This window comes from Homo sapiens, chromosome 2 (genome assembly GCF_000001405.40).
Source record: "Homo sapiens chromosome 2, GRCh38.p14 Primary Assembly".
NCBI classification, from domain to species: domain Eukaryota; kingdom Metazoa; phylum Chordata; class Mammalia; order Primates; family Hominidae; genus Homo; species Homo sapiens.
This window is the reverse complement of record NC_000002.12, coordinates 124,895,273-124,921,913: the sequence shown is the minus strand read 5'-3', so window position 1 is coordinate 124,921,913 and position 26,641 is coordinate 124,895,273. Positions and strand designations below refer to the sequence as shown.

Here is a 26,641-nt window from a genome sequence, read left to right as displayed (position 1 = left end):
CTAGTCCAAGCCAGCACCACCCTCCCTCAGGCTTTTGAAATGGCCCCTAACTGTTCTCTCCTCCTCTTCTCCTATCCTGCTATTGTCCCTTCTCCAAAGGACCATAAACCAAGTTAGGTTTTACTTAAGGGTAAATCTGGTAGTGTCTCTCTTCTGTTGAAATTACCGTCCGTTTTAAATTTCTGTGTGTGTGTGCTGACTACCTCATACATAGAAGGCTTAATAAGCACCACATGAAGTGGGTTCTGTTTCACAGCAGTGTTTGTTTAGTCTCAAACACATAGGGTTAAGGTCCTTTGTAAGAAAAAGATGTAGGGCAGGAGGCAGAATAAATACAGTTCCTGTGAGTGGGCACTGATGAGGATGGAGGAGAGTCTGAAGTTTCACGTGGGTAGCTGAAACCAAGGTGGCTCCAGAACACTGAAGCTGACATTGACTGAATCAATGAGCTTGCTCTTGTACACATTTGAGCCAGGCGTGTCGCCTGGGATAACTCAGCTCAGCGATGAGGGAGCCCAGGACAGCACTTTTAGCCATGCTGAAATCAATAAACCCAGCCAGTGGGAGTTTCGTGTTTCTCCAGCAACCCCACAGGTTATGTTGTCTGTGAGTTAATGGTCTAAGGATTGAGAATGGGAGCTAAGGGATTAATTGTTTGACTCTTCATTAACTCAAGAAAACACAGCAAGGCACATTTGTCTTCCACACAAAATCATACAAAATGTTCTCTTTATTAAATATACATTATTTACAGTTTGTCTTTCTTCTGTACAACAATAACCATAGAAAACAAAGAAATCTAAGGCTAACTTTTATTTTTTCCCCATACAGTGTATTAAGACATGTTACATGGTCTACAAAACTGACTTGGAATGAGGCAACATCACTTGGGATTTTATTTTAGGAACAAAAATCAGAAGATAAAAAGGAAAAGGTAGACTCCAGCATTTCCACAAAAAGATGACCTGTTTTGTGCTTTTACCATAATAAAGAGTCTGACATATGTGTATTTTTGTGGGGAGGGTATTCTGCAATTTATTACTTGTTGAAATACCCTCCCCACTCTTTCTCATTCCCTGAAAAGGAGGGCCTGAACATGCCATAGGAAGACTTACTTCCCATCTGAAACAGACACTGTAATGCTCTATCTTAGGAATCAGCAAACCGTAACCTATGAACTAAATTAGATTTTGTAAATAAAGTTATATTGGAACATGGCCATGGGTATTCATTTATACATGGCTGCCTTTCTGCCCTAGGCTAGTGACTAAGGAAAATGTTAGTCCAAGGCAACACAGGATATCAGGAGGCCTGTCAACTGCCAGATTCAGAAAGAGAAAATTCTTGGTCTTTGTCCTCACTAAAGGCAGTCTCTTTCTCAATGTAACTATGCTGCTTTAAGCAAAGTTTGGTATTTTTTGCAACAGTATTTAAGGCAGGACAAGGTTACACAGGTTGATACTACCTTTCAAAGAGAATAGACTAGGTGAATATTTCATGTAAAATGTTTGTGATAGAGGCTGACTCTGATGGGAAAGTATGCCCAGGCTGATGCCCGTTAATATTTTCCCTTCAAGGTTTCTTGAAAGAGAAAGCCTTTCAAAGAGTCTGTAGAGGAATGCATTATTCCTGTTTCATATCCAGCACTTTGTTCACGTTCTCTGAAGATATTTCTGGCATCTGAAGCATGTAAGACTATGACACTCGTTAAAATAAGACCAGGCGTTAATCACTAACACAATTATCTTCACCTTTGGTCTTGGCTTGGGACTAATCTCCTAATTTTGTCCTATTTTATAAAGGGTTTCCTTGTGTCAACTGGAAGGACTGAGAAAAAATAGTGTTCCCAGATGGTGTTAGATGGTAGGTCCCTGGCGGTACTCGTTGTCAGGGCTGGGACACTACACTCCTTCTTACAGTTATGTTATGCTTATTCATGTCAGGATGAATGGAAGGAAAAGAAAGACACTGGATGGATTCCAGAATCTGAGGACTTCCACTCACAGGGGCTCTGATTGATAATAGACCTAGGGCAGTTTTCTGACAGTTTCATTTCCTGAAAGTTGCATCTGGGTGCTTAACCTGGGCAGGTTAGATAATTATAATAATAGTTCTAAAGCACTCTGAGAAAATCCTGAAAAAAAATTTAAAAATTGAAAAAAAAGAATGTGACTGAAGAAGTGTTGGAAGGTAAAAAAAATCATGCAAATGTGAGTAAAGAATTATTCATGCAAAGCCCATGATATTGCCTCTTTCCCTAATGAGTAAGACAATGATCCAAATGCACTAAAGAGACTCCTGAGTGAGGAGCCATGAAAGTGGAAAGGCTGCCACCACTGATTCATGGTGGAAGCAATTTCCTTCCTCACCTCAGATGGCCACCAATTACTGCCACTGGCCCCTCTTCCTCCTCGTCAAGTTCGCAGCAGGTGTGGTTGAAACCAAAACCAACTTTTGCATTAACCTTTGTTCATGTCTGCTCAGCCATTTTGTAGACTATAAACATTACATAAGACAGACATCTAGCTTACAAAGTACAATATTTCACTAGAAAATGTGCTTTTCTGTTCTTCCTCAGAGTACCTTAGTGCAAAATAAGATAAAATAATCACTGAAAAATAGCAAACCGGTTAATTATTAAAACCTTATATGAAGGATTCAAATAATTGTCAACATAAAAGAGGAATGCTTCTCTCCCTACCAAACAGATATGTATGTAGAATGTTCAAGAGAAAAGTTGAATAACAGCCCTATTTGTACAAAGTGTGCATGTGAGCGTGCGTGTGTGTGTTGCATTTTTTCCCCTTTAGGTGGTTCAAATTTGGAATTTGTGAAGGCAGAGCTGATAATTAGAGACAATAAAAATCTGCAGAGTAGATGGTTCCACAAACAAGACTATGAAAGAGGGGATAAAAGAAGAGGTCAAGAAAGACTCAAGAACAGTATATAGAAATAATTCAATTACATTATGTGTATTTTAAAGAAAACATGTTCAAACTGCATGAGACAGAAAATAGCACTCAGTTATCCTCCTAGACTTCTGAAAGTTTTGAGTTTGTCTGCATCTTCTTCCATTAATCGCCTTTGCCATCTTCAGAAACAATGAAGTCAGTTTATTTATTTAGTCGATACATGACCTGTAGGATAATTGAGGACTAAGTATGTCCAAGCCTTTTCATTAAGGAAGAATGACTGGCAGAACCATACAGGTATCCCAAAGGCCTTTTGGTAGGCTACAGCTGCAATGAGGTTTTGATGGATGGTAGCTATGGGGAAGCTTAAAGGAAGCTAGGGCAGTTGGTGAACAGTCTGTCAAGACCTTTCCTTTCCTAAGAAAAAATTCAACAGGTCTCATCCTCATCTCCCTGGATATCTTGGACTGGATAAGTTGGCTGTGCTTGCACCCTCCCAGTGCAACTCTTCTAACTGAATTAACTTCCTGCAGAGAGGGAGCAAGTATGACCTTCAAGACAGGAAACACTCACTCAGGCTCAGAGGTGAGACCTCACATAAATGGACAACATTTTTTTAGTCAATTACTGATGGAAGGGTAGACTTCAGTTAGGTTCAGAAATGTTATGTAGAGTCAAAATGGCTCATCAGGACTAAGGAGGGTTTTAGGAAGAGCTGGATGACAACCAAACCACCTTCAGGAACATCTGGAAGAACAACGGCATGCAATAGGTCATAAACACATGGCTGTGGAAGAACTGAGAAAAGGGAAGGAGAGGGGCCAAAGTGGACACTCTTAGGTCCAACTCATGGGAGGCAAGACTTTTGGAATCCCCCAACCTGACCCGAAACAAGAATGTAGAGAATTCAGCCTCCTCAAATGTATGGCAGAGACAGAGACCATCTATTCTTACTGTTCCTAAAAGTCAATCCACCCCTTTCTACAGAAATCTATATGCATTGATAGATATCTACTTTGAGGAGGAGAAACAAAACAGCTTACAGAAGGTGGAAGCAGTAATTTAAAAAATAACAGATATTTCCCAGAAATTTACATTTCTTTCAGTCTGGCAGATGCTTCACAAAAATAATTGTGCGGGACCTTGTGCTGCATTCTAGGACACTTTATGTGTGGCCCTGTTGCAACAATACATGCCTTGCCAGCTAGACTTTGAGCTCCCCAAGGGCAAAAACAAGGTGTAATTTATATATGTTCACCCAATGCCTAGCCCGGCACTCATTGGCATTCCATAAATACTTCATGAATGAAAAAAGAAAAACAATCTCTTTATTTTGTTCTATCCTGCTCTTGCTACCCGTTGGTGGAGATGAGTCTGACAAAAGGTAGAAGTCAAGTTAATACCATCTCTGTTATTACTAAGGAGAGGAAAAAAGTTGTTTTAAAACATCACCGCTAGGATCCTTAAAATCTTCTGCATACAGCAGAGGGTAAATAGAAGAGGCAAAGTTAGTCATAAAAATATGTCTATAGAAATGACAAATGTCTATTTCTCCAGACAAATTTTCATAAAGATGGCAATTGAGGCTATATATGCAATAAATGATGCAGTAGGATAAATATATTTTAGAGTAAGCAAATATACTGTTGCTTACATAAATAGATTTGTTTGGTGGAAAAAAATATCAATGAAACAGCTCCATTAAAATGTGAAATTTCACAAGTACTTTTGGCTTTACTGTAAAGTGATCCATATTCCATAAGATCTTTTTGTAAACAGCAGTTATTGAAGGCTGAGGATTTAAGTGGAAGAGATCATGGTGGCCCAGTTGGCCAGAGCATGTAGTTGGGAAACCTGAATGTGGTAGGAAAAAGAAAAAAAAAATGGTTAAAGAGAGATTAAGATGCTTTCAAAGTCTCCTTCGAGATGATAATTGCAGAAGGATTAAAACACTCACACAATTGAACAATTACATAAAACTACATAGATCTTGGTACCACTGAGGAAAGACAGTCAGAGTTAGCACGATTTCTAATTGTAAATTACATTCTACTTTGGAGGGTACGGATCACTTGCATTTCATATATATCTAGTGAAAGTTAGTGTTCTCTGGGGTTATGAAATAATTCAACCCTGTAAAAATAATTCTGCTTTAGCCCTGAGACTACTTATAGGAGTGACGTGTAGACGGCACTGTCCTGGCATCTACATTTAGGTCTGTGGTATGTAGTGTGCATGGAGTCTACACACGTGAGGAAGATGCCAGTTGATTTTGTAGTGCCATTGTGGTCAGGATAGAGCTTCACAGATTCTTCATCCTACAGGACAATCTACAAGCATATATACTTAGATGAGAAAATCAAATACTCTGAGTTAGCCTTTGCTAGTCTCCATTTCTTCTATTAGCACTATGTCAGCAAAACATAGTCCTCACTGCTCAAAGATTGAATAATGAAGAGTTCCAGCTTTATTACTCATACCTTCCTTTGCCTTTCTATTTCATTATTGGAGCTGCTTCAGGCTAAACCTACTACACTTCATGGTGACTTTTATTTCAGGGGACAAAGGAATATATAGCCAAGCAAAAGGCTGATTTATATAGCCTTTTTATGGAAATAGAAAATTCAAAAATGAAAATTGAAGAAAGGGAGGAAAGGGCAGGGGAAAACAGTGTTTAAAGATCCTTCATCTTACTAAAGAATCATTCATCTTATTAAAACTAAAAGGAGAGAAATGATATCATGGTTAAAATCACTTTAAAATAAATGTACTAGCCAAAAGATATCATGTAGATGATAAAGCGATTGAGCTCAAATCCACAGAAAATTTCGAGGAGAGAATATGCATTTGAAACAACATCTTAAAATAGAGAAATATGATTGCAAACTAAATCCTTAACTCATAAGCTCTGAAACTGAAAGAAAAGCTGTGTTTGAAATGGAATGAAGCAACTAAGTTCCTCATTGTGAGAGGCGAGAGACAGTGTACCCTAAGCACAAGTTGGAATGTCTGCTAACTGTCAAGGATGGCAAATAGAGCTGTGGTCATTGTTTTCTAAATTGAATCTGCCTCATAAAGAGAATCAGCAAGTATTTTCCACACCTAAGAATCATTACATGAGCATTTCCACTATCTTGGAGCATTTACATTGTCTTCTCCTTACCTTTTTCTCCAAGATGGCCCAGGACAAAGAATGATGCATATTGCCACAGAAAAATCATTAAGATCTTTACCGCCACCCCATGGATGAGCTCAAGGTGCCTTCTTGAAGGAATGACTGTTTTCAATGCTTTGTTACCAAAAGGGACAAAGACCCTGAAATTTGTCACCACCTCTTTTGGGAGTTTAAGCCTATAAAAAGATGTTTGGAAGGGTCTTTATGTATATAGGGTATAGCAGATTTGAAAATGTGGTATGCTACAGAACCTAAGGGCTCCTCTGAAATCAAGCAATGCTAGTTAGCTAGAGGTGACCATTTCACTTATGTTAATGCATCCTAAACTTCTTGGAGAATAGCTTGATGTTAAAAAATGTGAAACTTGCAAATTTGAATTAACTATCTTCACCAGGTCTTTAGTGAGTGAATGGAAGGGAAGAATTCTGTTTGGTATTTTTCTTCTTTCATGCAGTTTTTTTTTCATTTTTTCCTGATTTAATTTTTGTTTTAAAGCTGAGTTAAGATGGTTTAGGCTCTTTCATTGAACCGGGTACTATTTTAAACTTTTATTTCAATTTCTTTATGCTGCAGCAACATATATGTGTGCGTGTGTGTATATATATATATGTGTGTGTGTGTGTGTGTGTGTATATATACTCACATATATATATACATATATACACATATGTGTGTGTGTGTGTATATATATATATCTCAGTATAATAATCCCAGGAATACCTAGCTAGCATTCTTACAAAATTGGAGGAGGCATTTTGAAGATATGGAACATCTACTTCCTAGAAGCTTTCTTGTTACCTCCTAGTTTCAAGCTGCTATTTCCATGCATCCCCTAGCTTTATGCTATGGTGTGCTGTCCCAACGTGTCGGCCCCAGGAGAGAGTGGTAAGAAAGGAACAAAGTAGTTTTGGTCACTACTATCAGCAATCATATATTTGAAAATACTCAGGGTCTAAGGGTCATAGTGAAAAAGGGTGATGAGTTAAGGCAAGGGATTGCTTATGGTAAAGAAAGCAAACCACCACAAACCAAACCTCTCTTACTCTTTTTACAATGCCACCAAAGCAAACCAGGCCTCTAGGTTCTTCTCTCCCTGCCCTGGGTTCTATGGTAAGAATAGACTTGAGCTGGGGAGGATGTCAGGAATGACCGTCATGTGCCTAAGAGCTCAGGTTCAAAGCAAGCCTGAACCACCAAGTGGTTGGAAAACTGAACAGTGCATTTTAGAAACTGGAAGTACAGAACTGAACATGCAGGAGTGCACACATGTGTCTCTTCCTTGTCTTGAATGGCGAAGTCAGTCTCTTGAGTGGTCGTTTTCACCCGATAGGTTCATCAGAGAGGAAGGCAGTGGCCATGGCTGCCTGGTCTCTTGGGCTGGATCAAGGGAATTGATGCTGTGGTGGATGCAAGTATGTTCCAGAAAAGACATGGCAAGCAGAAAATAAAGAGAATGACCAAATCAAAAGACAGGAGAGAAGAGGGGGAGGAGATAATTGAACAACAAGAAAAAAGAGTAGTAGGAACCCTGCAGTTTCTCAGATGAAATATTCCCGTTTACACTCGCTCACTGTGTTTTGCAAGTCAATTTCATTTCTGAAGGAACTGTCCAAATTTTCTGGATATTCCTTCTCCTTCATCTGGCTCGTACGATGTGACTGCTTGTGCTGGTAGAGGAACCGGGTCATGATGCCGATGATACAGAAGATGATGAATATCACCACTGCTATCACCCCTGGAGAGAAAGGGGAAGGAAAGAGAGAAGGAAATCGTCATGAGTCATCTGCTCAGGAGAGTGGATTCCCTCCAGATGAGGGGAATGCGTAGGAGAGAAAGCAAAACAAAACAAATCACACAAACGCAACTCTGCCACCTGCCCAGAAATAAAGACCTGCTGAAAGGCCCTGTCTTCAATTACTATAAAACCTCCTTCTTTCAGACTAACTGGGGGCGAGAGACACTTTCAACCATAGAAGGTTTTGTTTAAAGAACTGAGAATACCATCTTATACATATGGAATTGGACTAGCAAGGGGTTTCTTTGTAAATTTTTCAAGTCTGCTATAAATAATGTGTCAGAATCATTTGTAATTAGCCCATTTTTTTGTCACCTCACAACTAAGTATTTCAGAGTTACTTTAGCATCTTAGAAAATGGTACTTAAATATCTCACATCTTAACACATGCTCTCCTGATGTAAATTTGTTTTATGTTACGTTTGTTTTGCTAAAACATTTTCATTAATAATGAAATGATCGCTATAAATTTAGAACATTTTTACACTGCTCTGAACTCTGTTAAACTAAGGCTCATTCAGTGACAAGATGCCTCTGTTCTTGAGAAACTCAAAGTCAACTGAGATGGCAAACCTCTGTCCAGACCCATCAGATTCCCCTTTATTCTGACTGTGTGTGATTTAACTGGATTATGTTGCAAGCTATTCTTGCTTACCCTAGGGTCTCACCCCTACCTTTGCCAGGAAGGCTCTTGGAACATGAAAGGCAATATCAATAAAGGAATAGTGAAAACATGGAAGCGGCAGATGTGTCTCTGCATGAATGTAGTATTTCAGCATGAAAATATTTAAAAATATGTATGATAAGCAAAGAATTTACTTGTAATAAGTTCTATATTTTGCTGTTTCATTTTTCTAAGGAGAGGAGATATTGAGGAAAAGTGTCTATTTCAGAAAGCTATTTTTGGGCATAATGAATTATGATTTACAGAAGCATGGACATTTGTAAGTTTCATAAATGGATTGCATGTCTTCCACCAATTTTTTTTAGAACTGAGGCCATGATTAAGATTTATTTTTATAAATATATGTTCCTAAATCATTTTGTGGCATTTTCTACAACTATGTTAGAACAAGTAAGAGTAAAATCATCTAAGTTAGCAAGTCTATGAATAAACTGGGTGGTAGTGAGTGATTCCCATGAGTGGGATGCTGCATTAAGAGATGAAATAGGAAACTGGTTCCTACTCCTTCAATGCATGGGATAGTCAGAGTCAGCAGCTGTGCAAGCCTCCAGGAATTTTCCTAGGGGGTCAGATGACTTCCCTGTCCTTAAAGAGACTCATAGAGCACGTAAATAGCTGGAGAGGAGTCAGCAGTCACAAAAGTCTTTCTTTTTCCACTTGTCAAATGGGAAATTATTGAAAGAGAAATAGGCACAAAATTCTTTCCCACATTTCTCTATGCCAAACAAAAATTAAGGTGGTCCAGCTTCTCTGGAGCAAAAATTCAGGTCAGAAGTTTTAGGAACTTCCTTAAGGAAAGGCGTGGTTTTCCTTTCTTCATGTTCTCAGGAGTGCACCTCTGTGCTCCCATAGCCATTTGTACCTCCTCCCTCAGAACAGACTTCACTGGTTGTCTTGTTGTCTGTTTACCCATCTCCTCGCTGGCTCATTCATCCCCATATTCCTCTACTTAGCACAGAGCCTGACCCATAGCAAGGCTCATTAAATATAAGCTAAATGGAGAGGTACTGCAGGTTTTTAAAAGGAAAACGCCATCTGCCAAGGATCAGTTCATCTAGGCTTCCAGAAGGCAGGGATGGCGGCACCTGCTAAGGTTATGTTTCTCAGATAGAAATGAGTTTGGTCTTTCACAGGCATCTTACATGAAGCAAAGCTTGGGAATCATTCTGTGTTGGTAGACCCAGATGGAAAAATCAAGCCACAGCAGGAGGAAGCCAAGCTGAAGCAGAATAAAAAAGTGGGGAGGCCAACAGGCAATGAGAAAATGGAAAAGCAGGAGAGCTGAGCTCACAGCAGAGCAGACAAGGTCTGCATCTGTAACCATATGTGCAGTGAGATTTGCAACTACAGTTCTGTGGGCTTCACCCTGCTCATTAGACCTAACCCAAATCACTTGGTGGGGAATACTCCACAGGACTGCGGCTTCACCCATTGTCTGCCCCAACATGGCTTCTTCCCCGAATTTAGTTTTATTGGTTTGCTTTGTTTGCATTTTAGAAACAGTGAAAACTGTATGAAATGAGCAGAATGTGAGCTGCTGTCTGTAAGTAAATGCTCCAGCTGTTGACTCAGTGCTCAGCTGCCTCATGAATCAGAGGCAAGATGAATCCGCAGAGCTGCTGGTGTCGGCAGAGGGTGCTTTTGATCATTCAGCACACAGGACTACTCATGAAAAGCCCACAGTCTTGCAGGTAATGTAGGGGGCTCTGAGTGCTGGATGGCCATAATTAAGGAAAGCTTCAGATAACTTTCTCCAGAATACAGGATCGTTTATGTCTTTTTGCATTCAACAACAATGAATTGTTTACCTCCGATGACTGCCGAATCACTTCGAACAGCATTTGTGAGTGGTTCCCGCTCATCTGTCTTCCCAAAAGGATCTGAAAGGAGTAAAAGACATGGGACTTTACTTCTCACTCAAAGCACTGGCAAGAAGCCTACAGTGTGGCCCACCTGGAATGACACACCTGTGCATTACACCAGGTGCCCTCAAATAGTTGTGAGTTGATATGTTGCAAGGAACTCAAAAAACATGCACAAGCAGAAAGCATTTGAAGTGCACTGCTCACACCCCATAGTTCAATGGCCCTGTTTGTTTATGTGCAAATTGTAAGATAAGGGGTTAAAACAGAGGATGGTGGTATCCTGTCCACATGCCCTCACCCTGCTCCTAATGTCCCCTGTTGCCTAGCTGGACAGTTCCTATTCCTATGCATGATGCCCTGCTCTGCTTGAGAGTTTTCTTCAGATGCAAAAGGATCCTGAGTTTATTGACAGTAAAGAACAAAAGTGCTGGAGAATTAACACCTTCAGGAGCAGGCCTCACTGATGAGAGAGAAATTGTACTGTGTGTACAGTACCATATATGATATAAGAAAAAGCATCAAGTTTAAGGGTACGCAGGCCTTAATCTGAGTCTTTGCTCTGTTGTTTGTTGGTCTGGTGACATTGAGGAAGACCTCTTTTTAAATATAAATTTGCACATGTATTAAAGGAGAGTAGTAATACCTATATGTGTGTATATAATGCATGCTAAATTTTCAGGACCTTGTGGCTACTATACACTTATAAGTAGCCACTATGATTATTATTGTTGTATCATTTGATCATTGGAAAATGACTACAACATGAGTATTGTTGTTCCCCTTTGGCAAATAAGGAAACTAGATTGAAACAATCAAATAACATGTCCAAGTCCTACAGATCATTCATGAAAGAGGCAAAATTCACACCAAAGCTATCCAACTACTGCACTCAGAGTCTTTCTATTACTCCTCTCTGCTGCTTGAAAAATATCAAGATTGGTGATGTGCAGGCAGCAACAGAACTCAAGCCCCCATATGACATCATTAGTCCTGTCAGGTGTCATTTAAACTTTCTTCTCTGTCAAATGGTAAAAATGATAGTCTTTGCCTTAAAAGGTTTTGTAAGAATTATACAAGTTAATATACTTGTTTTTACAACAGTGGCTGATACAACGTAAGTGCTCACTAAATCTTGTTTCTTCTTATAATTTTGCTTACTATTAATTACATACACATTTATGTGTATAAACATGCACATCCTAGTCTCACGAGTGGGACCTCAAGCTTGCTAATGAAAAAACCAAGACACGCAATTCTTCATACCACAGCACTTGCCACACAGCCATGTGGAGACACACGTGAAAGATGTTTGGTAAGTATTTATTGTGTCTTCAAGTGAAGGGAGTGTGGTAGTTTATGCCATTTGTGGTGTCCAGGGGTGGCCTTTTCCTAGGACTCTTGAAATCGGAGCAGAAACAAATCAACATGAGAGAGAGGCTGATGGGGTCAAATGGGAAGGGTATTGTAATTAAAGAAGGTGCTGGCCATGGAGCAGGTATTCAGAACTGGTGACATTGATAAGGTGGGTCTGGTGGAAAAAACTTGGAGTTGGAAATTGATATTATTAATCATCTCTGTACACCTGGATGACCTACATACATGCATACATACATGGAGAAGAACATATATATATATATATATATATATATATATATGTCACCAATTGATAACGATGGGGTGATAATGATGATAGTGGGTGTTAGAGACAGAGAGAGAGCGGGCAGATAAAGAGAAGGAAAATGAGAAATCAGAGGAGTCAATAAAAGGGGGAGGGAGAGAGGGGATGAGGTATGGTAAAAGATGGGTAGAAGACAAGGAGGAAAGAAAGAAGAAAGAAAGGGAGGGAGGGAGACAGGAAGAGAGGAAATTCAAAATATTTAGTTATTAGATCTCCTGTATCACACTGTCCACTGTGCTTGTTATTCTTGTTTATCCCTGTGCTACTCCACCTACTTAAAATGCCTCCTGCTTCTTTATAAATACAGTCATGTGTAGCTTAATGGTGAGAATATATTCTGAGAAATGTGTCATTAGGCAATTTTGTCGTTGTGTGGAAATCATAGAGTGTGCTCACACAATCCTAGGTGGTACAGCCTATGACACACCTAGGCTGTACATGTAGTATAGACTATTGCCCCCAGGCTACACGCCTGTATAGCATGTTGCTGTAGTGAATACTATAAGCAACTATAACACATTTGTGAGTATATGTGTACCTAAGCATATCTAAACATAGAAAGAGCAGAGTAAAAATATGAGATTTAAATAAATGCTACACCTGCACAGGGCACTTATCATGAATGGAGCCTGCAGGACTGGAAGTTGCTCTGGGCAAGTCAGTGAGTAAGTGGTGAAGGTCCAGGACATTACTCTACACTGCTACGGGCTTTATAAACACTTTACTCTTAGGCTACACTACATTTATTGACTTTTTTTCTTTCTTTAATAATAAATTATCCTTAGCTTACTATAACTATTTTACTTTGTGAACTTTTTATTTTTTTAACTTTTTTACTTCTTTGTCATAACACTTAAAACACAAATATCATACAACTATACAAAAATATTTTCTTTCTTTATATCCTTTTGCTAGAAGATTTTTTCTATTTTTAAATTTATTTACTGTTATTTTTTACTTTTTAAACTTTTTTCCTGAAAACTAAGACACAAACATACACAGTAGATCAGGCTTATGTGGATTCATGATGTTAATATCATTGTCTTCCACCTCCTCATGTTGTCCCACTGAAAGGTCTTCAAGGCCAACAATATGCAAGAGGTACCACATGCTACCATAACAATGCCTTCTTCTGAGTTATTTCCTGAAGAAAATGCCTGAGGCTTTTATTGAGGAGTAAGTTCATACCAGAGTCACCACAAACATGTGGATAAGGCGTTGTACTAGGACCTTATGATTGCTACAACTTCATTAGGTCATAGAAATTATTCAGCTCCGTTATAGTCTTATAGGACCACTGTCTATGCAGACCATTATCTTTACATGGTACATGACTGTATTCAAATCTGAATCATCCATTATGGTTTATTAGATCATGACCTTTTTCTGTTTTTTTGTTTTGTTTTGTTTTTTTCTTTTCTTTTCTTTTTATTGAGACTGAGTCTCACTCTGTCATTTAGGTTGGAGTGCAGTGGTGTGATCTCAGCTCACTGCAACCTCTGCCTCCCAGGTTCAAGCTACTCTCCTGCCTCAGCTTCCTGAGTAGCTGGGATTACAGGTGTGCACCACCATGCCCAGCTAATTTTTGTATTTTTAGTAGATATGGGGTTTCACCATGTTGGTCAGGCTGGTCTCAAACTCCTCACCTTGTGATCTGCCCTCCTTGGCCTCCCAAAGTGCTGGGATTACAGGTGTGAGCCACTGCATCCAGCCTCATGGCTTTTTTTTCTTACTCCGACTTACAATGGTTTCTCCCTTATTGAGTCTATGTACTACTTTTAACATTATTAACCAAAATAATAACCTTGGTTATTACTTAACATTGATTTCACAACAGATTTCCCCATTTCTAGCAAATTTTGCTAATGATACATTAATATATATTAACCCAGCTTGTTAATTCTAACTAATATTTATTAAAGCTACAAATAAAATACTTCAGATCTAGTATGATGACAGCTTCAGTAACATGACTACAAAAGTTAAAAATACCATGCCTATATCCATGCTTAATGGACACCTTCGGCAAAGTAACCCTTGGGGTAGTTATTCATTTATTTCAATAGTACTTCTCTCTTCACAGTGTGTCTAAATTGTCTTTAACAATTTTAGAGCTATCTTTTAGTTTTAATCCCCCTCTCAAAAAAAGAATGACTCAGCTTAAATGTATCTATCTATTTATATCATATATATAGATCTTGATCTATAAATATAGATATAGATATAATTATAGATATAGATCAAGATCTATATATTTTATATATTCTATATCTATATATTATGTATATATTATACATACATATCTATATCTATATATCTATTCTTATAGAATAGAATTTATTGTATACTATAATAATATAGATAGACATTGAGCAACTATCTGTATCTATCTCTATGAAATATCTATGTATATATAGAGATAGAGAGAGAGCTAACATTCCATAAGAACTCCTCATTACTGAAATATGTTGGACTTCTACACTTGCACCTAATGATTTACCTGTGAGGGGTTTTCACTGATTACTAAATATGCTACACTGTACCAGAAATTTGAATTTTAACTTACATATTTCCTTTTGTAATGGGCTTCTGTCTTCTGAACATTGCAAACCCTTCTCCCTAAGCATTGCCATGACCAGATTATTTATAAATCTATCATTAGTTCATCTAAAATGTATTTACTGCCTTTTCTTGGTTCCATACAACCCAAAACTCTGTTCATATTTTTCCTTTAGCATTGCTCACACTGTATTATGATATAGTGCCGGGCATCCAATGACACACCCTAATTCCCTGAACCATTGCCTTCCATCATCTTTACAGATTTCTAAAATTAGGGACTTTAAATGTTTCTTATTTTTTGTTATCTCCACTAACTATGGAAGTTAACACTAAGTAGCTGCTTAAAAGATGTGTGATGAATAAGGTAACAGGAGAATCACAAGAATTACCTGAAAGAACTCAAAATCATATTTGAAGAATAAAATGGTGAAACATAAAACAGTAAAGGAGTGGGCAATACATTGCTGGAAGAGTAGATAGATAGAAATATTTAAATATCCTACTCAGGTTACCAAATTTGTTAAAAAATTTATTTCTCAATTTTTACAAAATATTGGACTGGGCACTACAGATCTCAGGCTAAAAGTCTTGGCTAAGAGTCCTGCCATATAAAAGAGAGTGCGTGTTTCTCAATATATTTCCCAAGATATTAAAATCTCCTAGACTTGTTTAATGCAATAAGATGTCCCACCTTTTATCTTCCTACTAACACATCATGACCTATCGTAGACCACTGCTGGGGGAATTGTGCCTGTAATAGAAAATTACTGTGGTCCAGAACCCTTCAACACCTACCACTATTGTTCTTAGTGTGTGCTGGGAAGCAAGGGGAGGGTAAAACAATACCATAGTAAAATGGGAGCTTTATCAAACATCTCAGACCTAGCCTCTTCATCACCACTACTTGCAAAACCCATATTTCATACCAATATTAGCAGCAAAATCTGAACAAAATATATATCCCATGGATTTAGAAAAAGCATCCTAGAAAAATCTGATAATACTCCCTCACCCATATACAAACCACTTTAAAGCATAATCAGAATGAAGACACTATCACTGTTTCTATCTATATTATATTGACTTGTTGATACATGTTGATGTCTTGGTTTTATCTCAGTGTATTAGTCATTTTTTAATCAGTATTTATGATGCTTTGACATCTTGAGGATCTTGCTGGCCAGGGAGACACTGCCCCTCTCAGGGCTAGCTGATTCCTAGAGATAGCAAACAATAGGCCTGCAAGCATGCATTTTATACACAAACCAATCAATCCAGAGCCCATCTCCCACACTAATCCATTTATCTAACTCACATTCACAACCCAGTATTTCTCTTGCCTTAAATCACTCAAGGCCAAGTATTAGGTATTAGATAACTAGAGACCACCCCTGTAGCGCAGATCCTGCCCACATTATTCAAACTATCCAATTCTAACTGGCTCAAGCTTGCCTACCTGGTTCACCCCATTCCTTCCCATGGAAGCTGCAACACAGCCACCCCACCACACTTTCCCCTTTCTCTTTCTCCCTCCTGACCAACCCTAGCACTTCTCCATGTGGCTCTGAGTGGTAGAATGTATCTCTTTTTCTTGAGAACTGTAAGAAATAAACTTTTCTTTCAAAGGCAATCATCTCATGCCTGTCACCTTATCATACCTGATTAAGACAAAATCCCAGATACATTTTCAGACACCCAAAATGACAGTGACTAAGAAAAGATAGAAAAGGCACTTAGAGGGTAGTGAAGCAGAGAATGTATGGATGATGGTGCTGTGGGTTTTTTCTACTTTTAAGAAAGGCTGATTTAATTTATTTTCGTTACATATTCAGAAATAGGATTCGAGTTTTAATATTTTGACAAACCTCTCTACTCTTTTCCATAATGGCTGTACCAATTTGCATTCCCACCAGGAGTGTAAAAGGGTTCCATTTTCTGTACTTCCTCTCCAACATTTGTTGTTCTTGTCTTTTTGATACTAACCATCATATTATCAGCTGTGAGGTGACATCTCATTGTGGTTTTGGTTTGCATTTCCCTGACGATCAGTGATGTTAAGCACCTTTTCATGTACCTGTTGGATGTTTGTATGCCTTTTGTGGAAAAAAAAAAAAACAAAAAAAAACAAAAAAAAACTATTCACATCCTTTGCCTATTTTTTGAAGTGTTTTTCTTTTCTTTCTTTCTTTTTTTTTTTTTTTTTGCTATTGAGTTATATTAATTCTTTTTATGCTTTGGATACTAACCCTTCATCAGTCATATGGTTTAAAAACATTTCTTTTTCCAATTCTGTAGATTGCCTTTTCCTTTTGTGGATTGTGTCCTTTGCTGTACAGAGGGTTTTTTAGTTTCATGCAGTCCCATTTTTTAAATTTTCGCTCTTGTTGATCATACTTTTGGTGTCATGTAAACATATATATATATTTTCAAGACCAATATTAAGGAGATCTGTCCTTATGTTCCCTTCCTGGAGTTTACAGTCTCAGGTCTTATATTTAAGGTTTTAATCCATTTCAAGTTAATTTTTATATGGTATAAGATAAAGGTCCAATTCTATTCTTTTGCATGTGGATATTCAATTTCCCCATCACAATTTATTGAATAAGCAACATTTTCTTCATTATGCATTTTTGGAAATTTTGCCAAAGATTAGTTGATTAAATAAGCCTGGGTTTATTTCTGGCTTCTCTATTCCATTCTATTAGTCTATGTGTCTGTTTTATGCCAGTATTATGCTTTTTTTTTTATTACTACAGCTTTGCAATATAGTTTGAAATCAGGGAGTGAGATGCCTGCAGCTTTCTGCACTTGTGTTTACTGCAGTATTATTCACAATCGCCAAGATATGGAAACAAACTCTCTGTTAATGCTTAAATGATTAAAGATATTGTGGCATATACACAAACAATTGGAAATTTTCAGCATTAAAAAAGATTGTGCCATTTGTGACACTATGGAATAACCTAGAGGACATTATGCCAATTTGAAATAAACAAGACACAGAAAGACAAATACTATATGATATAACTTATATGTGGAATCTAAAAAAGTCAAACTCATAGAAACAGAGAGAACGGCGGTTGTCAGGAGCTGGTGTGTGCAGGAAATGGAGAGTTGTTGGTTAAAGAGTACAAGCTTTCAGTCAGAAGATGATACATTTTGGTTTTTTTTTTTTTGTTTTTTTTTTTGAAACAGAGTCTCACTCTATACCCCAGGCTGGAGTGCAGTTGCATGATCTTGGCTCACTGCAACCTCTGCCTTCCAGGTTCAAGCGATTCTCATTCCTCAGCCTCCCAAGTAGCTGGAATTACAGGTGCCCACCACCACGGCCAGCTAATTTTTGTATTTTTAGTAGAAATGGGGTTTCGCCATGTTGGCCAGACTGGTCTCGAACTCCTGACCTCAGGTGATCCTCCTGCGTTTGCCTCCCAAAGTGCGGCAATTTCAGGCATAAGCCACCACACCTGGCCCAAATTTTGGTGAACTAATGTACAGCATGATGATTACAGTTATTCATACTGTATTGTTTACTTGACATTTGCTAAAATAGTTAATCTTAAGTGTCCTCATCAGATGTGCATGCACATACACACACTCACAAAGGGTAACTGTGCAGTGATGTGTTGATTAATTTAATTGTGATAGTAATTACACAATGCGCATGTTTATCAGATTATTACAATTTACACTTTGAAAATATATAATTTTTATTTGTCAATTATTTCTTAATAAAGCTAAAAAAGGTTTATTTTAATCACATGAATTATCATGTTAGTTCAGGTACCAGCTTGCTGCCTCCCTGTTCTCTAAATACCTCAATTCTCGGAGCAGTATCCACTTCAACAGTAGTGACTATGTATACAAACACACACACACACATACACAATGCATTATATACGTGCATAATAAGCAAAGTACACAACTATGCATTTAGTTTTAATTACTCATCATATTAAAAATAAAACTACATCAAATATGTATAAAATCACCCATGAAATATCAGTCATAATTTTTAGCCACCTGTTATTATACAAAGTAAAAACTGAGTCACATTAGCCAACTCTTTAATCTGGAAGCTTCTTGAAGACACAAAAAGTAGTGCTAGTGACAGAAGCTCCCTTGTGCATGCTCTTGAGTGTACCTGATGAAGAATGCACCGTGGTCACTGCATTCACATCTGAGTCCACCATGAAGCCACAGCTGGATTCCGTCAAGGTCCCATGGACAGTCACAGGCGCGACAGTGGCATGGCGCAGGGCAGCCTTCAGTGGTGCTATGTGGTTGTACTGGACGGAAGACATGCATCCAGCAAAACCCATGGCATTTGCTTTAGCAACTTCAGAATCCAAACCAAGATTCTCTGCAATGTAAAAGATAATCAGAAGTCCTTTACTTTTTTTGTTTTTTCCAAATTATATGCTGGGTCCTCTTTGAGTAGTATCTAAAATTACAGAAATTACCTTGTTATTGTTTGAGTAAAGAAAACCCTCCCCTATCTATCTCTCTTTATCTCCTTTCCCCACCTCCACTCCCAATGCAAGCATCAATATATCAACTACATTTCATAGAAAATTGTCAGGGCCATTTCTGCTTTGAGATAAAAATTTTCCCCAACTTCTAAATTTTCATTCATGTATTTTATGAACTGTAACAAAGACAATAAATCTGTTCTGTATTTTAGGTGCTTTATAAAATTTGTATCATTATCTGCATCATCATTTATCTTTGGATACTGGTGATTAGTGCAAGCACCCTATGATGTTCATTACAACACTTCACTCAAAAATGTAGCAAGAGAAAAAAAATAAAGAGGTAGAGGGATTAGAAGTCAATGTTGTCCTTCCAAAGATTTATTGTGTAAATTATTTTAAGCCACCTGTGTAGACTGACCTTCTATTCAAGATTTCCACCTGCTTGGTTCTGTCCATGGAACTGATTGGTGTGCATGGGTTTTTTATGACAGCAGACAGCATTCAACTTCCTAAAGTATCTTTGAGACTTTATAAAAGATGGACATGCAATAATTTGGGATTCATAGCAAGATCAAATGTCTTGTTTTCTTCAAGATTGGTGGTAAGATTACTCAGTATTCCATTTCTTTTTCTTAAAAGAGTCAATTGAACAAACTGCTATGATGCAATTATATAAAACTGCAATGCATAATGAGCCATCTTTTTTCCTAAGGTGTAATAGTCTTCACGTACCGAGATGGTTATTTATTAAGATAATGTGTTTGTTTTCTGAAAGGCAGTAGGGACTCTCTCATCTACTGGCATAGATTATAATTTTATTTTGATTCATAAATGGTCAAAGAGCCTCCACTGATCTATAAGCATGCATTATGTTGGCAACATTAAGAGGTATGATAAGGATATGGAGGAAAATGAGAAATTAACCTCCTTTAATAATGCCTTTTCTAAGTTTTGCTCTAATTTTACTCTCCTCCATCAACACCCATGTAAACTGAGCCAACTTATCATCTCTGTCTTTTCACATAAAAAAATCAAATCGTGTATTGTTATGTGGCTGGTGTGACAAATTGCCACAAACTTAAATGACTTTAAAGAGCTTAAAACACAAGTGTGCTATCTTGCAGTTCTGTGTGTTTGAAGTCTGCCATCGATCTCATTGGGCTAAAAATCAAGTATCAGCAAGGCTGCATTAATTCTTGACACTCTTGGGGAATATTATATTTCCTTGCCTTTTCTAGCTTCTAGAAGCCACCCACATCCCATGGCTTCTGTAGACTCCTTCTCTATTTCAAGGCAAGCAATGTTACATTTCTCTGTGCCTTTCTTTCATACTTACTTCAACCTATAATTCTCTTCTATCTCCTTCTTTCACTTTTGAGGACCTTTTTGATTACACTGAATTCATCCTGATAATACAGGATTATCTTCCTGTTTCAAATACAGCTGATGAGCAACATTAATTACTTTTGCAACTTTACTTCCTCTTTGACACATGGCCTAATGTATTCTTGGGTTCTGAGGATTAGGACACAGACATCTTTGTGCTCTATAATTCTGTCTACAACTTCAGGTCTGAGATTTTGTGAGAACTTTCCCAAAAATGATAATGAAAATCCAATAATAATGTGAAGTGTCACTTCTTCAAATATAAAAGGACTCTGAGATGTATGAGAAAACTTCTATCTTCCAAATATTCAAATAAATCTCCTACAGCATTGGTATATATTTGCTACTTATTCATGAAAGGATCACATATGTTTGTTTGGTATGATGAGCATTAAAAGACTGTGTCCCACATAAAGCATCTCACAAAAAACTTTAATGGACTAGATGTTTTTTGCTGGTGGCACCAGAACTCACTGTACCCAGATACAATTCAGAATATGCATTAGCTACAGATTGGTGGTAGAGTTAAAGATCAGAAATATTTAGAGGAAGAGGCAGAAGACAAGGGAAGAGGAGCATAAACTATCATGAGGTTTTTGCATTGTAGGATTTCAGAACATGGAAAATGGCAAGTCATTGTAGTTCTGCCTGAAGGATCTAAGTCAACATTGCCAGCTCTCATTCCCAGGACTCAGTGGGAAAGAAGCCTACATAGTGTCCAGGTCCTTGGAGGACATCACTATAGTGACTGTCATGACATACTCCAGATGTAAGAATAGGCACATTGATAAGTCGGGGGAAATGCCAGCAAATGACATTCTCACCTTGAATGAAGAGATGTTTTAAATAAAGCCCTATCTCTAGGGAAGTGTGCTTCTTCCAGATGTACTATAAGGACAGAAACCTTGAGGTGTTTCTGAAAAGAAATGCAAAGAACAAGAATCCCTGATAGGAGAAAATATGCTCTGCATGATGCTCGAGATCATGATTTCTCAGATTCTTACATAGATGGAGAGGAAAAAAAACAAAAATAAGACAAAAGTTAGAAAGGTTCTAAATGATTTTAGTTTCTTATAATAGCATTAACTGATATGTAGTATGCTATAATAATTTGATAAAAACAATACTTTTAAAGCTGCAAAATACTCAACATTCACCACTCACTGAGTAGCTACATACAACTGCAATAATTGTTGTCGAAGAATTATTTCTATTCCCCTCAAAAGTTCTTCCGGATATGTGTTCTCAACCTTCAAAATTTACAAATGAAGTAACTAGGACTCGAAGAAGTTCAAAGATGTACTGAAGATCACGTAGCAGGGTTGAGATTTAAACCCAAGTCTTTATGATTTTAAATGCCAAACTGTATTTAAGCAATGCAGCCTCCAAAAAAAAAACCCTCCAAAATATCTCCTGTATAGAGTAAAATAATTTTACATAAATTATCTAAAAAATGGGTTGCAAAAACTAAGGAAAGCACAAGTTATTTTGGTTAAGTGCCTCACAGAATTCACTGAACTCTGTATTACATTAAAGACAAATGTATTTCCTAATTCATTTTTCTGTTTTTAGGTTAAAATTACATTAGATTCATGTGGAGTTAGATAAGGGGACTGTTTCATGTGCTGTGTTAGAGAATGGATGTTGAAGACAAACTTAATAGTGAATATGGCTCCTCAAAAGCTGACAAAATGGGAATGCAAGCAAAGGCGACACCACTGAAAAATACCAGTGTTCCCTGTTTCATTTTTCCCAAGATTTTCTACTAACATAAAAATCTTATCCAAAAAAAGAATTACAATGTTCAAAAGTCTTGTCACTGCCTTAAGAAACCAAAGGCATCTTGGAAAGAAAAAACAACAGCATATCCAAATGTCTTATTTGAAATTGACTTAGTTTCTGTCACTCAATACATTTTAAATATCATCAAAATAAGGTTCTTGATTCTCTTTTGATTTTAGCCCCATGTCCTCCAAGGGTGATGTAAAAACAGCACGAGCTGCTGATAGGTACAGGTTGGAAATTAGGTCTACCTAAGTTGATGAATCATGAACTTGCCCATATGATATCTGTTTCCATGTTTCTTCAATGTTATCCCCTATAAAATAGGGATAATAGTACCTACCACATGAATTATGTCAGAAATAAATACAATAATATAAATCAAATTTATAGCTCAATAACCATTAATGCAGCTTTGGTGTTTTATGTATTTGTTTGGTTTTTGTATATATTTATATTGCACAACATGATGTTTTGATATATGCATACATTGTAGAATGGCTAAGTCAAGATGTTTAACGTGACATGGCGGATCACCTTATATACCATTTGTGTGTGGTGTGAAAAAACTTAAAATCTACTGTCAGCAATTTTCAAATATATAATATATTAACTGCAGTCACCATGATGCACAATAGGTCCCTTGAATTTTTTCTCCAGAACTTATTCTCCAGTCTAACTAAATGTTCATCCTTTGACTAACATATCGCCATAATGAAAGCATACTGTTAGGAGGAGGAGGCCGGGGGGAGTGGTAGTTAGCAGTAATAGTAAAATCTTTTACTCCTCCTACTATTCATCAGTTCCAAGCTCTGTTGCCTGGCTTCAGTGCCCCTCAACATGCCCAAGTACTGTTGCATTTAGAACTATGGTGTAGATACTAATATGCTTGCTGTGGAACTCTACTACATTTCCATTTACTACTGATTCACAATTGAACAAATGTAGCACTCAAATTTTGAATGACTTAGTTAACTTATTTTAAACTAACGTTTTTGGGCATTTAAAATTTGACTTTCTACATTATTTTGCAAACACCTTTATTTCTTGTAAGTAAAGCTATGCTCCTCTATTAAATCTAGTAGATCTGTGATGCCAGAGAAAGTAGCAAAGAGTCAAGTGTAGCCTCAGAATGCACAACACTTTACACATTCGCAATTGTTTTACAGGAAGAGAGTGATAGAATGAATCCAGGATAATTTTGTGCAGGCAGGTTTGTGTGTGTATGTGTGTTTTTTTATATGAAAGAAACACGAAAAGATCAGAAATTCGCTAAAAACAGACATTGCTCTGGATTGTAACATGACATTTTCTATGTGTGAAAAGTTACTTATGACACTTGAATTCTGAAGTGTAACAACACAAAACCATACAGACCCATACAACAGGGGCTTATAAGAGTAAAATGTTGTATCAAGGTAAAATATAGTTAAGCAGAATCAATGTTAATGGAAGGTATGAGAAGTATATACAAGTAAAAATTTTTCCCTCTGGAGTTCATTGTGGCTTTCAGGTAAGGGACAAACAGTTTGAAAACTTAACTACAAGGAGGACCCAAAATCCAAGAAATAAATAAATCTTTCAATCCTGAAAGAGGATTGTCAAATTTAGTTACACACACATACACACACACACACACACACACACACACACACACACACACACTTGGCATTTGCTTACTGCTTTTATGTTTATCTTAGTATGCTCATTTGTATGTCCTATGTAAATATTTTTCCTTATAAAGTGAGAAAGTGAGACAATTATACACAACTTCCAGTTTGGAAAGACAAAACACATAAGGTCAAGTAATTGTTTAAAGTAAATTAATCAGTCCAAGGCCAATTCAGGCCTGAAACCTAGGTTTCATGGCCATAGGCCCCCTCCACCCTTTTTTTTCTATTATGCTATGCGTGACACTTTTCTGTAGGTATGGATTGTTCATAAGCTAAACACAATTTTATTTCTCTAGCCTGACTTAACAGCCATTCACTCACTAACACCCAGTCTCCCAGCTACACATCCAACCTGTCTGCTGTGTATGATCTGAGCTAACTTGCTCAGACATGATTCTCTCTGCCTGGAAGACTGTTCTGTCCCTTTATGACCTGGATAACTTCTGTACCTGCTCTGCAAAACATACATCTAATTATTGGCCACCTAGACACAGCTCCATGTTTGATAGTGGACTTACAATGACTAGCAAACACATTCCTCCTATCTCTGTGAGCTTTCAATCATATTGGTGGATTAATTTAGCAGACCAGCAAAGATTTCAGGCAATAAATCTTATAGTAGAGGGAGATCATTATGTCCATGGAAACATAAAAGAGACCCCTGACAAATCTAGGGTAACAGTGATCAAACTGAGAATGCAAAAGAACTTTCAGGAAAATGTACTAACATGTATATTTATGGTTCCCTACTCATTCAGAGGGTGTGGTTGGGGATGTGTGCAAAAACCTGCAATTTAAAGAACACATTTTCAGGTAATTATGATATAGATGGTTCGTGGAACACATTTTGAGAAACACTGATTTAAAAAAGATTGCTTGGAATAAATATATTCAAATAAAGGCTTAAATGATGAATAGAAGATGGTTACATGTTTCAGGCACAAAACAAAACCTTTACAAAGTAAAGAGAGAAGTAGTGCGTCACGTTTAAGACACTGAAAAATGAAGTTAACTCTGTCTGAAATAAGGCAAAAGATGACACTGAAGAGATAGGTAGGAGTTAAAGCAAGTTAAGAACTTCCATATTCTTAGCCAGGTGCGGTGGCTTATGCCTGTAATCCCAGAATTTTGGGAGGCCGAAGCGTGTGGATCACCTGAAGTCATGAGTTCGAGACCAGCCTGGCCAACACGGTGAAACCCCGTCTCTACTAAAAATACAGAAATTAGCGGGACATGGTGGTGCACACCTGTAATCTCAGCTACTTGGGAGGCTGAGGGAGGAGAATCACTGGAACCTAGGAGGCAGAGGTTTCAGTGAGCTGAGATTGGGCCACTGCACTCCAGCCTGGGTGACAAGAGCAAAATTGTCTCAAAAGAAACCAAAAAAAAAAGAACTTCCATATTCCTAAGGCATTTTGCTTAATTCTATTAGGCTGCCTTTGCTTTGCCATTTTGTCTGTCCTCCCCTTCTTGCTTTAAGAAAGGCTGTCCTTTTCAAGACTTCATTCACATCAACCAGAACACAGTGTCCAATACAGAGTAAGTGTCAAGCCAATATTAGTAAAATAAATTAGTGAATGAAAAAATAAATATCTCTTAATATCAACAATAATGGCATCTAATCAGTGACATTCATGTATGTGTGTGTGTGTGTGCATGCATTTCAAACTTCTTCATTCTTGACCTTGATAAACATATTTTCTTTACTTTTACATTTACATCCACAACATGTTATCCAGAACGCTCTCTTTGATGAAGCAAACCAAGTTCTGATTAGAACTTCATTAATATTTCTTACAACTTTGCCAGGAGTGCACAGGGAATATTCCTCTTCATTATTCTCAGCATTTTGATACCTAAAACTAAATGAACTGTTGATATGGAACCGGAATGGCAATGCAAGCCCGGTTGCCACACATCACGATGTCTGTTCTGTTTACAGTGACTCCACAAGCCTTACAAGGCATGGCCCATGCACCGACTCTTCACAGTGCCCATTGGCCTTCCCCCAAGCATTGTATGACAGGCTCCTTTTTTTCAGGTGCCAGACTGAAAGTCCTTTCCTCACAGAGGACTTCCTTGGGCACCTTCCTAAGGAGCACCCCTCCCTCCTCCCACTGTCTTATTCTCTATCACTAAAAACAGTTGATTTCCCTTCTGATTCTTCCACTAACTTCATAATTGCATGTGTGTCCATGTGTGTGGTTATCAAGTCTTCCTTTATGTACCACTCTAGATCATCAGTTTCTTGAAGAAAGGGTTCCTGTTTTGCTTGTAACTAACCACCTATTTCTCTATTTTTTTGAGACAGGGTCTTGCTCTGTCACCCAGGCTGAAGTGAAATGGTAAGATCATGGTTCACTGCAGCCTCATCCTCCCAGGTTCAAGAATGCTTCCACCTCAGCCAACCCAGTGTCAGGGACTACAGGCACATGCCACCACACCTGGTTACTTTTTAAAATTTGTTGTGGAGAAAGGGTCTCACTATGTTGCCAAGTTGGTCTCAAAAGCCTGGGCTCAAGCAATCCTCCCACCTTAGAATTCTAAAGTGCTGGGATTACAGATGTGAGCCACCATACCTGGTGTTACTTCTTAGCAAAGTACCTTGGACACAGAAGTTGGGAAATAAATGTTTTTGAATGATCAAATGGGTCGA

The 26,641-nt window shown here is 37.7% G+C and overlaps 1 protein-coding gene across 3 annotated transcripts in view; it reads right to left on the bottom strand.

Moving 5' to 3' along the window:
• Positions 1 to 694: 694 nt before the first annotated feature.
• The window catches only part of CNTNAP5 (contactin associated protein family member 5), an 895,933-nt gene continuing 869,986 nt past the window's right edge, over positions 695 to 26,641 (bottom strand). For all 3 annotated transcript variants that reach the window (NM_001367498.1, XM_017003316.2, NM_130773.4), the window contains 3 exons: positions 18,814 to 19,032; positions 10,376 to 10,447; positions 695 to 7,822 (listed from right to left, as the gene is read on the bottom strand). In NM_001367498.1, coding sequence (NP_001354427.1) covers positions 7,626 to 7,822; positions 10,376 to 10,447; positions 18,814 to 19,032 — 488 coding nt within the window. In that variant the 3' untranslated portion in view covers positions 695 to 7,625. The remainder of the gene's footprint in view (positions 7,823 to 10,375; positions 10,448 to 18,813; positions 19,033 to 26,641) is intronic.